The sequence below is a fragment of the Homo sapiens genome, chromosome 4 (genome assembly GCF_000001405.40).
Source record: "Homo sapiens chromosome 4, GRCh38.p14 Primary Assembly".
NCBI classification, from domain to species: Eukaryota; Metazoa; Chordata; class Mammalia; order Primates; family Hominidae; genus Homo; species Homo sapiens.
Window position 1 is genome coordinate 18,409,959 of NC_000004.12, and position 13,397 is coordinate 18,423,355.

The 13,397-nt window shown below is 42.7% G+C and overlaps 1 long non-coding RNA gene across 2 annotated transcripts in view; it reads left to right on the forward strand.

The window, feature by feature from the left end:
* The first annotated feature begins 1,842 nt into the window (after positions 1-1,842).
* LOC105374510 (uncharacterized) overlaps positions 1,843-13,397 on the forward strand; it is a 428,164-nt gene continuing 416,609 nt past the window's right edge. The window contains exon 1 of one of the 2 annotated variants that reach the window (XR_001741602.2): positions 1,843-1,932. This is a non-coding gene — a long non-coding RNA (uncharacterized LOC105374510). Of the gene's footprint in view, positions 1,933-8,271; positions 9,005-13,397 lie in introns of those variants that run through there. The other variant, XR_001741601.2, reaches the window with a different exon arrangement.

Genomic DNA, 13,397 nt, shown 5'->3' on the forward strand with positions numbered 1-13,397 from the left:
GTATTGCCATTAGGGTTATTGACTTCAAATCTATGGTTAGTTACTTTTATTAATGGTCTCAATTAAAGACTTCATTGTATCTATGCCCTTTGCTCTGTAACTCTGTAGCCCCCTCTCATGCTGAGTCTGAAATTGGCCATGGAACAGTAGTGAATATGGTGTCAGCAAAAACTTGAATAACACTTGCAGAAATAGTTTGGCTCTGTGTCCCCACTCAAATCTCATCTCGAATTGTAATCACATGTTGAGAGAGGGATCTGGTGGGAGGTGACCGGATCATGGGGGTGGTTTTTCCCCATGCTGTTCTCACGGTAGTGAGTGAGTTCTCATGAGATATGATGGTTTAAAAGTGTTTGGCAGTTCTCCTCGTTCTCTCTATCTCTCCTGCTGCCATGTAAGGTGTACCTTGCTTCCTATTCACCTTCTGCCATGATTGTGAGGTTCTTGAAGGCTCCCCAGCCTACAGATCAACTAAACCTCTTTTCTTTTTAAGTTACCCAGTCTTAGGTAGTTCTTTATAACAGTGTGAGAATGGACTAATACACTTTCAGATTTCCACTTTCTTGGTTGCTCCCTGTCTTTGCCATGAGAATATACCTGGGCTAGCCTAATGGATGATGTGGCAAACAAGATATTGGCTCAAGATGGATGATGTGGCACAAGATGTGGAGCTATGACATCCTAGATTTCTGAGCTGAACCCCCAGCTATGAGAGAAAACCCATCTGAAAACTGCATATCCAACCCCGCAGCTGACTGCAGGCACATGAGTGAGCCCCACCAGACCTAGTTCAGATCAGCAGAACTGTCCAACTACCCACAGGCTCATGAGAAAAAACAAATTGTTGCTTTAAGTAAATTTTGTGGGTCTTCTGTGTCTCTGAATTCAAATCTCAATTTCTTGAATAACAGAATTTGTTTGATTCAGCTTGGTTCTTGTGTCATAACTCTGGATACTTTAGCTGTGACCAGAGGGCAGTTGGCATGGCTAAAAGGAGAGAAATTTGTGAGCTGGAAAAACATCCCACCTAGTAATTTATTACATATGAGAAGGGTTGAGATAAAATGGAGAGTCAAAAACTCCTGGAATATTTGTAATTACTCCCAAAGATTCACCAAACTCATGAGAAGAAAGGGAAATTGAGGATCAGCATTGGGGAAATTGCTTGTTCATAAGGAGCCAAAAATGACTGGTCCAGACCCATGAAGAATTTGATTGAACAGAGATCATAGAAAGGACACTTTTTTTTTTTTTTTTTTACTTCTGCATCTTCAGTGCCTAGCAAAGTATGGTACACACTCTCCTTCCTAAAGAAGGAGAAGGGCGTCAAAAGAATTGTTCAAAATAAATATCAGCTGTTGCTATTGAAACGAGAGGGGCCAAATGTTGCTGGTTATGAATATATCAATACATGGTAATGAGATACCTACATTGTATTAAACATTATTAAAAGTAAGAATCTGTGCCAGAAACAAAAACATTTATATTATCATATAATACACTAACATTTTTTTAGGCAACCAGCCGATGAACCACCTCCATGTGGTGTTTATCTCACTGTGCTTACATCTTGCTTGCCATAATCATAGAATTTTAGACCTGGAGGGCACATAAACCCTCTGGCTAGAGAGGTTATGGCACAATCCCAGATATACTCAATCAGCACCTAATTACTGAGCTCAAGCCATGTACCTTGCACAAACAGAAGGTGCAAGTAAGCAGTTCCAGGAGTCAGGTACTTATTATGACTGGTTAGTTAGTGATTAATGTGATCTTAATCACATTAGTCAACTTCTTCATTTTCATTTCTCATATTTCACCACAGTCTTCTTGCATATCTGGGCTCAGTCTCTGTACTCTCACTGCAAGCCTGAGAGGAATGCATTGAGAGGATGGCATGAGGAAGCACTTTTTCCTATGTGAGGTCTTGAGGTTAGTTGCATTTAAACTCTCATTCTCCCTTCTTTCCCTCCCCTATTACTTCTCTGTCTCTCTCTTTTCCCTCCCTACTTCCCTCCTTCCTTCCCTCCTCTCATCTCTTCTTTCTTCCTTTCCTTTCCTTTCTTTGCTTGTCTTTCTTTATCTTTTTCTTTCTTTCTTTCTTTCTTCCTTCCTTCCCTCCTTCCTTCCTTCTTTCCTTCCTCCCTCCCTCTCTCTTTCTTTCTTTTCTTCTCTCTTTCTATTCTTTCTTTCTTTTTCTTCTCTTTCTTTCTATGCTTTCTTGCTTGCTTTCTTCTTTCTCTTTCTTTCTTTCTTTCTTTCTTTCTTTCTTTCTTTCTTTCTTTCTTTCTTTCTTTCTTCCTTCCTTCCTTCCTTCCTTCCTTCCTTCCTTCCTTCCTTCCTTTCTTTTCTCTCTCTCTCTTTCTTTCTTTCCTGATTAAACCCTGGGTTCAACACATGGTATGTATCATATGTTCTCACTTATAAGTGGTAGCTAAACATTGGGTACACATGGATAAAACCATGGAAATAATAGACACTGGGGACTCCAAAAGGGGGGCTGGTGGGAAGGGAATGAGGGTTGAAAAATTACCTATTGGGTACAATGTTCACTATTTAGGTGATGGGTATCTTAGAAGCCCAAACCTCAGCATTATGCAATTTAATCCATGTAACAAACTTGCACATGTACACTGAATTTAAAATAAAATAAAATGAAAGTCATGTAATACTAAAGATACCTTTCCAGACCCTGACCCCCGACGTTGGCCAAAATCTAGCATATATGGTTAAAAAAAAAGACATTTTACTCAGATCTGAGACAGAAACAATTATGGAAAATTGTGGTTCCTATATTGTTCTAGTTGTTGACATAAAATATCTCCTTTAATCCATGCAGCAACTTTACAAAATAGATATTATTATCCTGATTAGTAGATAACAGAAATAAGGCTCAGACAAGTAGGTAATTTCCTCAAGGTCACATAGCTGAGATGTGGCACAACTGGGATTTGAGTGCTTGTTCTGCGAGTTATGACTACAAAACTTGTGCTCATTTTTCTGCACACGGCAACAGATCCATCACCCCTTAGCCAAATTCCCACTCATAAAATAAGACATAGTTTCTGTGTTATTTAGCTCTTGCTATAATAGAGCTGCATAATAAGCAACCCCAAAACTCATTGGCTCATAGCAGTAAACATTTATTTTTCTCACACATTGGATCTGTAAGTTGGATGGTATTTGGCTTATTTCAGCTGGACCTGGATGGATTCAAGTAGGTTTGGCTCTGCCATGCAGGTTGGATGCAGGTCTATTCCAAATGTCTTCTCAATTTCCTTCTACCACTATCCTAGGCATCTTCTCATAGTGAATGATAGGAGTGCAAGAGAGCCAGCCAAGCCATGGGAACCCTCTAAAGCCACTGCCCACAATAAAATGTTCATTAACATTTTATTGGCCAAAGCAAGTCACATGGCCAGCTGAACTCACAGAGGCAGGAAAATGTAGTCCACCCATTTGGGGAAGAACTATAAAGTTATATGGCAACATGTTCAGATGTATACTTCTGTAACAGAGAGGGAGTGAAAAGTTGGGAGCAGTAATTCAGTCTATCATAGTCCCAGACCCTCAAGATGGCCAAGTAAGCGTGTGAGTTGGGGATCTACTGGCTTTGTAACTTCCTGTCCATGAATCATTTTACCTAACATGCATCTTTTCTGAGCCTTCATCTGTGCTGGAATAGTCACCATAATCCCTGTTCAGTATTCCTCACAAATTTATTGTATGGGGCTGGGTGCGGTGGCTCGCACCTGTAATCCAGCACTTTGGGAGGCTGAGGTGGACGGATCACGAGGTCAGGAGATCGAGACCATCCTGGCCAACATGGTGAAACCTCGTCTCTACTGAAAAAAAAAAAAAAAATATTAGCCAGGCATGGTAGTGTGCGCCTGTAGTCTCAGCTATTCAGGAGGCTGATGCAGAAGAACTGCTTGAACGCGGGAGGCGGAGGCTGCAGTGAGCCGAGATCCCGCCACTGCACTCCAGCCTGGGAGACAGAGTAAGACTCAGTCTCAAGAAAACAAAACAAAAACAAACAAACAAAAACCAAACTTATGTATAGCTCTGAGAGATCAAATTGAACTTCTTTATAAACTTTACTTCAGACTGAAAGTTACATTGTCATGTATTATTTTTATCAATATTATTACCATTATCATTATTAAGGGTAAAAATACCATTAATTAGGATATTTTTGAAGTTTTGTTGGGTGCCACCTGGTAGTCTACAGTTGGAGAACCCAGTGGTCTTGTGGCATTAATGCTTGTAGATTGTGTGATAGCATCGATGGTTTGGTTTTGGGTATTATTAAGTTATTTGTTTATGATATTTAATAAAAGCAGGCACTGTCTCGTCTGCAGCTCATCAGAGGTGGTACCAGCTTTCCATTTCTTAGGGTGTGGTTTTCATTTGGGGCAGCCCCAAGTGGGAATGAGGGCGGTTGTTGGTTCGTGGGCTTCGTCTATTTCACCTAAGTGGTCCGCAGTCTGCCGGAGCTTGAGAGCCCTACTTCCCGTGAGTGCACTGACTCCCAGGCTGAAAGCATTCACACAATTTCTATTGCTTCATAATGGGCTGAATTCTCTCTCCATCAGACAAACACAAATAGTACTTGAGGTGAGCCAGAAAGCACAATAGGTAACCTCTGCCAGAGCCAACTAGCTGCAAGCGTGGATGAAAAAATATCTCCCCGAAGAAAGAAACCACAACAATGAAAGGGGGAAGAGGGAGGCAGAAATTGCTATTATAAACTGAAAATAAAATTTATAAGATAAACCTAAACATATTTTTACAAGGTTTGCATATTTTTTCAGTTCACCTCAAATCTATGAAATTCAATTCTCTGCAACTCAATCCAGTCAATATTTGTTGAGACTAGTATCAGAAACACAGGGATGAGTTTTAACTCCAAAATGAATAATATATGAACTCTGTCCTTAAGAAACTCTAGGCCGGGTGCGGTAGCTCATGCTTGTAATCCCAGCACTTTGGGAGGCCGAGGCGGGTGGATCATGAGGTCAGGAGTTCGAGAACAGCCTGGCCGACATAGTGAAACCCCGTCTCTACTAAAAATACAAAAATTATCTGGACTTGGTGGCAGGTGCCTGTACTCCCAGCTACTCAGGAGGCTGAGGCAGGAGAATTGCTTGAACCCGGGAGGTAGAAGTTGCAGTGAGCCGAGATCTAGCCACTGCACTCCAACCTGGGCGACAGAGCTAAACTCCGTCTCAAAAAAAAAAAAAGAGAAACTCCAGCCAGTGGTGAGCACCACCCACCCCCACATCCCAGACACACATACATGAAAAGTCAGCAGGTAGGAGTGAGGCAGACTGTTGTTCAGTTCCTGGAACAAAGTCTTGACCTCACTGAATCTGTTTCCTCATCTTTAAAACAGGGACAATATTGTGCACCTCACAGACTTCATCTGATGTCATTAATTTATTTAAAAAATATTAACTAAGCCCGTTTTGAGTCAGGAGATGTGGCAGCCTTTCAGAATCCCACAGACTTACACAGGAGGCTACAGTATGGCAGTGATTGGGAAGAAGGCAAAGCAGCTGTGGGGAGGCCAGTAGTAAGTCTACTGCGATCTTCCAGGAGAGGGGTGTTACTGGCCCCCTGTGTAGTAGGAGTAGGGGGTCGAGAAAAAGACAGTCTAGAAACAATCTTAGGAGGTCACCAATGTCAAGGCCATTACTGATCTACAAGTTGTTGCCAAATTCACTGGTGAATTCCTTGTCCTCCTGTTGCTCTACATTCGACACAAGCTGATTATATTGATTATGTCCTTCTTGAAGCATTTATTTCCCTGTGTTTCTGGGATACCACCATTTCTTGGAGTCCCCCTAATGCACTGGCCACTTCTTTGTCTGCTTTGCTGCATCTCTCTAATATTCAAGACTTACCAATTATTTTCTTTTCTTTGAGTCACTCCCTACCAAATTATTATTTCCATTCTAACTTCCTCCTGATTTGTATACCCAGTTGCGAACTCCACTCAGATATTTAAATCCAAAATGAAGTTGTTAATTCTACTCCTTGTCGTCTAGGTCCTAACGCTCCATTTTTTCCAGTTACTTAGAGCAAAAACACTTGGAATCAACCTCGACCCCTTTTTTTCCTTATAATTCACATTCAGTCCCTCACACACCTTGGAAGCTTATTTTAGGCTGATTGCCTTCATGACTTCAAGTAATGATGTCCCTGTGTCCACATTCTTTGCAATGTGGCTTTTCATTTCCTCCCATTAACTGTGGAGTCTATTTCCCCAACTTTGAATAGGGGTTAATTTTGTGACTCACTCTGCCAAGAGAGTGAAAGACTTCATATTTAAATGAACAATATCCAGCAGCACCCAGCCCAGAAAAAGAAACAATAACTTTCATAACCATTGGCCACAAATGGTCAGGACTTGATTAATAACTGACAACTTTCCTAATGTTTGCCCCTGCTTCCAAATTAGAACCAACTAGATAAAACTAAATATGCACCCCCAACCAATCACATAAGATGCCCCGCTCCCAGTTAACTCACCTATAGTTGCTCTGTGCAACAACCTACAATTGCAGCTCACCTGAGGCCTTCTCTTTTTTTCCACTAGAAAGCTTCCCACACCTCTGCCTGTCTTTGATTCTGTCATATGCAAGTGACAGTGGCTGACTTTCTTGCTCTATCAAGCTCTGAATAAAAAGCCTTTGCTTTTTCTCATTTGGGTGGTCTTCCTTTATTCCCAGAAGACCACAGTAGTAACAATATGCCCATTCTATGTTTGTGTCTCAAGAAGCCTCTTTGACAGTTAGCAATTCTGCTCTTTTCTCTTGCTTTTCTGCTATCACCATGAGAACAAGCCAGGCCAATATCCTGGGAGTTCAAGGGCCTGCTGGAGTTCAAAAGACTGTATGGAACAGGGTCAGATGTACTTTTGTAATAGAGTACACTTTGCAGTAGAGCCGCCTGAAAGTAAGAAGCCAAAATAAGGAAGCAGAGAAACTTAGAAGGTTAATTCTGGGGTTATTTGGGTGATAGGAAGATATGCAAAGTATTTAGCTTTCCAGTTAACAACTTGAGTTGGCTGGGGTTAGCGATAACTTGGGTTTCTCTTTTGGTGTCTACAAGAAGTAGAGGAGGCAGGATCACTCCAGGAGTCTAGGCTGTGATGCTGCTTGCAGGAGCTACTGCTAAAGCCCCGAGCCAATCAGCTTCTATTTCATGTTGATCTTTCGAGGGTGAAAACCTACTGGAGAAGAGCATGAGCAAAGCCATTGTATTTGCTGGGGCATTTTAAATATAGCTGAGATAGGAAATATTGTGTTTTACAGAGCCGTGAATGAATTCTTTGTGTGTTTATAAATGCTTAACAAGCACAGTCATGCATGGATTAACAACGGGGATACAATGAGAAATGGATCCTTAGATAATTTTGTTGATGTGTGAATATCAGAGTGTACTTACACAAACCTAGGAAGTATAGCCTACTACACACCTAGGCTACGTGGTGTGGCCTATTGCTTCTGTGTCCGGAATTGGTGGGTTCTTGGTCTCACTGACTTCAAGAATGAAGCTGTGGACCCTCGCGGTGAGTGATACAGTTCTTAAAGGCGGCGTGTCCGGAGTTTGTTTCTTCTGATGTTTGGATGTGTTCGGAGTTTCTTCCTTCTGGTGGGGTTCGTGGTCTCGCCCGCTCAGGAGTGAAGCTTTGGACCTTCGCGGTGAGTGTTACAGCTCTTAAGGCGGCACGTCTGGAGTTGTTCGTTCCTTCCGGTGGGTTCGTCGTCTCGCTGGCTTTAGGAGTGAAGCTGCAGACCTTCGCGGTGAGTGTTACAGCTCATAAAGGCAGTGTGGACCCAAAGAGTGAGCAGCAGCAAGATTTATTGCAAAGAGCGAAAGAACAAACCTTCCATGGTGTGGAAGTGGACCCAAGCGGGTTGTCACTGCTGGCTCTGGCAGCCTGCTTTTATTCTCTTATCTGGCCCCACCCACATCCTGCTGATTGGTAGAGCCCAGTGGTCTGTTTTGACAGGGCGCTGATTGCTGCGTTTACAATCCCTGAGCTGGACACAAAGGTTCTCCACATCCCCACTAGATTAGCTAGATACACAGTGTGGACACAAAGGTTCTCCAAGTCCCCACCAGAGTAGCTAGATACAGAGTGTCATTGGTGCATTCACAAACCCTGAGCTAGACACAGGGTGCTGATTGGTGTGTTTACAAACCTTGAGCTAGATACAGAGTGCCGATTGGTATATTTACAATCTCTGAGCTAGACATAAAGGTTCTCCACGTCCCCACCAGACTCAGGAGCCCAGCTGGCTTCACCCAGTGGATCCCGCACCGGGGCTGCAGGTGGAGCTGCCTGCCAGTCTCCCGCCGTGCGCCCGCACTCCTCAGCCTTTGGGTGGTCGATGGGACTGGGCGCCGGCGGAGCAGGGGGCGGGGCTCATCCGAGAGGTTCCGGTCGCACAGGAGCCCACGATGGAGGTGGGAGGCTCAGGCATGGCGGGCTGCAGGTCCCGAGCCCTGCCCCGCGGGAAGGCAGCTAAGGCCCGGCGAGAAATCGAGCGCAGCGCCGGTGGGCTGGCACTGCTGGGGGACCCAGTACACCCTCCGCAGCCGCTGGCCCGGGTGCTAAGCCCCTCATTGCATGGGGTCGGCAGGGCCGGCCGGCTGCTCCGAGTGCGGGGCCCGCCAAGCCCACGCCCACCCGGAACTCCAGCTGGCCCGCAAGCGCCGCGCGCAGCCACGATTCCAGCTCGCGCCTCTCCCTCCACACCTGCATGCAAGCTGAGGGAGCTGGCTCCGGCCTTGGCCAGCCCAGAAAGGGGCTCCCACAGTGCAGCGGTGGGCTGAAGGCCTCCTCAAGTGCCGCCAAAGTGGGAGCCCAGGCAGAGGAGGCGCCGAGAGAGAGCGAGGGCTGTGAGGACTGCCAGCAGGCTGTCACCTCTCACTTCTGGGCTACAAACATGGACAGCATGTACTGAGGACTGGAGGCAACTGTAATGCAACGGTAAGAGTTTTGTAGCTAAACCTATCTAAACATAGAAAAGATACAGTAAAAATATGGCATAAAAGATTTAAAAATGGTATACTTGCATAGGGGACACATCATAAATGGACTAAAAGTTGCCCTGGGTGAGTGCGTGAACGGTGAGTGAATGTGAAGTCCGAGGACATTACTGTATACTACAATAGATTTTATAAATTGTAAACTTAGACTACACGAAATTTATAAAGAAATTTTCTTTCTTCAATCATAATGAACCTTAGCTTATCATAACTTTCTTACTTTATAAACCTTTTAATTTTTAGAACATTTTGACTCTGGTAATAATAACACAAATGCATTGTATAGCTGTAAAAATATTTTCTTTCTTTATATTCTTATTCTATAAACTTTTCTATCTAAAATTTTATTTATTTATTTTACTTTTTGTTAAAGGCTAAAACACAAATACATTAGTGTAGGCCTACACAGGATCAGGATCACCAATATCACTGTCTTCTACCTCCACATCTTGTCCAAATGGAAGGTCTTCAGGGGCAATAGCATCACGGAGCTGTCATCTCCTGTGATCAAAATGCCTTCTTCTGGAAGACCTCCTGAAGGAGCTACTTGAGGCTGTTTTACAGTTATCATTTTTGTTGTTATAAACAGATAATTACACTATAAAATAATGAACAAAAGTCACTGCAGTAGGTTTGTTTATACCAGCCTTCCTACAAACATGTGAATTATGCACTGTGTTGTGACTTGTAACAGCTATGCTGTTACTAGGTGATAGAAACTTTTCAGCTTCATTATAATCTTATGGGACCACTGTCAAATATGCAGTTGGCAGAAATACCCTTATGTGGAACATGACTGTTCTGAAAAGGACTGTTATGAAAAGGAAAAACAAATGTACTTTTAGCCTCGGAAGCCTACTAGGTATGATGAGCATAACAAGATCCCTGAGTTGAGATTTCTGTTGTAGAAAGCTGCTTCAAATAAGCCTTCGTGAGAACTCAAAGGTTTGCGACTATGACTATCAAAAAGCCACAATTTGCATTGCCCAGACCACAGCTTATATCTTACTGAAAACATAAACATGAAACTAAATATGAACCATGTGGCCTAGATTTTTAGCTATCAATACTTTTCTTTCTTTTTCCCCCACTTTGTACAAAGAATACTTTGATTTCTTCCATCACATTTCTTTTTCTTTGCAACTTGCATCAAACACAGGCACCATGCACATGTACTTTGTTTGGGATCCAGTGTTCCTCTCTTTACAAGTCAATCCCTGAGGATAGATAGGGAGCAGCCAGTTGCTGAGCGCGAGAGCTTTCTTTTTCCCTATGAAGTTCACTAAGAAGTACCCAAGGGGCTGTCTGCAGTTCATTATTACCGGATAGGGCCTGAGCGGTGACCTTTCACTTCTGACCTGTGGATCTAACTCTAGCATTGTTTTTAGTGAGCATGCTCACTAAAAACTTGGGGATCATCTGTATCAATGGATATCCTCAGAAGTTTTTATTTTCTCTTTCTGTCAAACAAGCAAGTGATAATCTTGATGTCTTATGAAAGTCTTTGTACCAGTGTTTATCATTAAAATAGCTATGTCTAAAATCCTGTGGGCTTACATAGAAAATAACTAAGTGTAGCCAAACACATATCAGGCATTCCAGGTTCAAATCCTAGCTAGGTGAGTTGGGGCAAGTTGTTCACTGGGCTACAGTTTCTTTGGCTACAAAGAGACGTGGTTGCCAAAGTCTGTCCATCTCTAATGTTGGATAACATCAACTATGTGCAAATTGTAAATTTAGAATTCTGCAAAAATCCTAAATTGCGTAGTTTGAGTGCTTATTATATGGTTAAGGGATTTTAAGACAGTCATTTAACAAACATCAATTGCCCTCATCCCATGCACCGGGCAGACTTATAGGTGCTAGAATAGGACATAGAGCAAGACAGACATGATTCGTACAATCCCTGGACAAATGTGCTGGTGGTAAAACTGGCCTGAGGTCCCACCATGATTAAGTAATAAAGCCAGTTTTGAACTCAGGTCTGTAGGATTACAACATGCTTGTTCTTATTCCCTAAGCTTTATTGTCTCCTGACATTGAAAGACCAAGGCTTTACGTCCCTGGCTTTGTCTTACAGGGACACAAATGTGGTGGTGATGGCTAGGAGGGCCTTTTCATTCTTGAAGTTTAGCCCAATAGGAATTCAATATATTCATTGAAAAAGCATCTATTGACTGTCACCATAATTCTGGGAATATGGGAAATTGTAGCATGACACTGTATTTCTATTTATACCTTCCTCATATCAGTGCAGAGTTAATATTGAGCCCTATTTTCCCAACATTTATGCTACTTCCCCTGTACTTTACCTCTGTAATAGGTCTGCTATCAAGATAAGTGAGGACATTACAAATTCTCCTGAAAGAATGGACTCTATAAAATTAAGTATTTCTTCTACTTAGTGTCAGATCAGTGTGTTCTTCAGCAAAGACGTCACACTCAGAATAAAAACCAACAACAAAAACAACAAGTGAACAGAACTTAGCATTATAATTTACTAGCCTTTTGGATTTGGCTCACACAACTTATCTGATTCCCTATCACAGAATTTTGTCTGTATGTACCTAAAATAAGACATAATCTGTTAAGTGCCTAGCATAGTGTCTGAAGCTATTAAAGGTATTCAGTAAATATTCGTTCCCTTCTTTCTCTAGAAGGGAAGGGCACGCTGTATTGGCAGCCTGCCCTCAGCCACCTGGAGGCTTACCACAAAAAGAGCTGAGCTGAGGCCTTCAGCCTTAGGCAACAGCTAGGTAAGTTAAAGATAGTTTCACTTCAGGATGTGATTTCTATACATTTATTCACATTTTTATACCATACCCATTTTATAGATGGAGAAAATGAAGGAACAAAGAAACTTAGTTTACCTGGCATCATCCTGGTTAGGGCTAGAAAAATTAAGCCCTACAGTAATGAATTCGATGAAAGGTGTTTGTAGCCATCTCTGCTGTTCTCTTCATCATAGGCAGATATGTACCAAAGGGAAAATGTGTTTATCGTGAGCTTTCCATCCCTTTCTCTGATGTCACTGTAGAATATAGCCAGCAGGATATGGATAGTTCCTCAGAATGTGGTACTAACAGGGCAGGGACAACTATCTCTTTCTTTGATCAGAGGTCAAAGGGCTGGTGTGCTATCTATGATCTGGATACCAAAGAAACGACCAAGGTAAATGCACTATGTACAGGCTAGGGAACTTTTGATTCCTCTCCACACTATTGGCAAGAATGGCTTACATTGTGAAAATAGGACATTTGCTGAAAAGTGGCTTGATACATCCCAAATTAAGACACAGTAGAGCTGGAGTGAGAACATTTGTTTCTCCATTAATGATCCTAGATTATCTTAAAACCAAAATATTATATGTTTAACAAATTTCAGTGTACCAGACACTTGCCTTTAAATTACTTCCTTTATTCATCTGAACAGTCTTGTCAAGTAAGACAGGCGTTAGCACATTTTACTGATGAGAAAACAGAGTCTTTGAAGCTCAGTTAACTTGCCCCAAGTTGCTCAGTTGGTTAAGAAGTGAGCTAAGTATTATGAACCTTCTCTTAGCCATGAGTTACCTAATTTCAGATGACTTAAGCAACATGTCCGTGAAGCTTGTCCTTAGGATCACAAGTCCAGTGCCTTTGCAGCAGTGGACGAGGGTTAAACTCTCAAGGGTTTCCAAAATTAACCTGTGGCCACATGTTGAAGTCTGGTGGGATGAGCTGAGTCAGTGCTCCATCGGCTTTACTCTGCGCCCCTTGTTCCTTAAGGCCAAGAGAGGATGTCCCCTCCAGTCTGTGCCTTTCGGTGTCTTGAGTCTGGTGGCTTCCTTGCAGTTGCCATGACAACTGTGGTTACATAATCACTCCCTTCACCCTCAGGCACCCGTTAACTTCTGACCTTCCCTGAGGATTTGCTCCATGGGTAACCTGCTGTCCAGACAGCCTGTTTATGGGAGGACAACCCCACATTGTTTGTGTCATGAACTGCCAGCCATTTTCCATCTTCCCCCACTTCTCATCTGTCATTTGGGCTTGTGTCAAAAGGAGGGTCAATTAACTTCCTACAGAGATGTTAACATGGCAGACACAAATTGATTTACTTGCTTTAGCCTGGCCAGTTTTTGCCATGAGTATCCCAGGTAGAAGGGATAGTCGCGCCTGGAGACTAGATGTCGATCGATTGCTCTTTTATTTTGGAAGAAATACAACGTAAATAGTAGATGTGGGCAGATGGAAATTTGTCTGATAGATTGGTGCCATCCAAAGCCTGAAGGGATTGCTTCCTCCTTATGGTATTTCTGCTTTACAGCATCAACCTCCACTTCTCCATGCCAT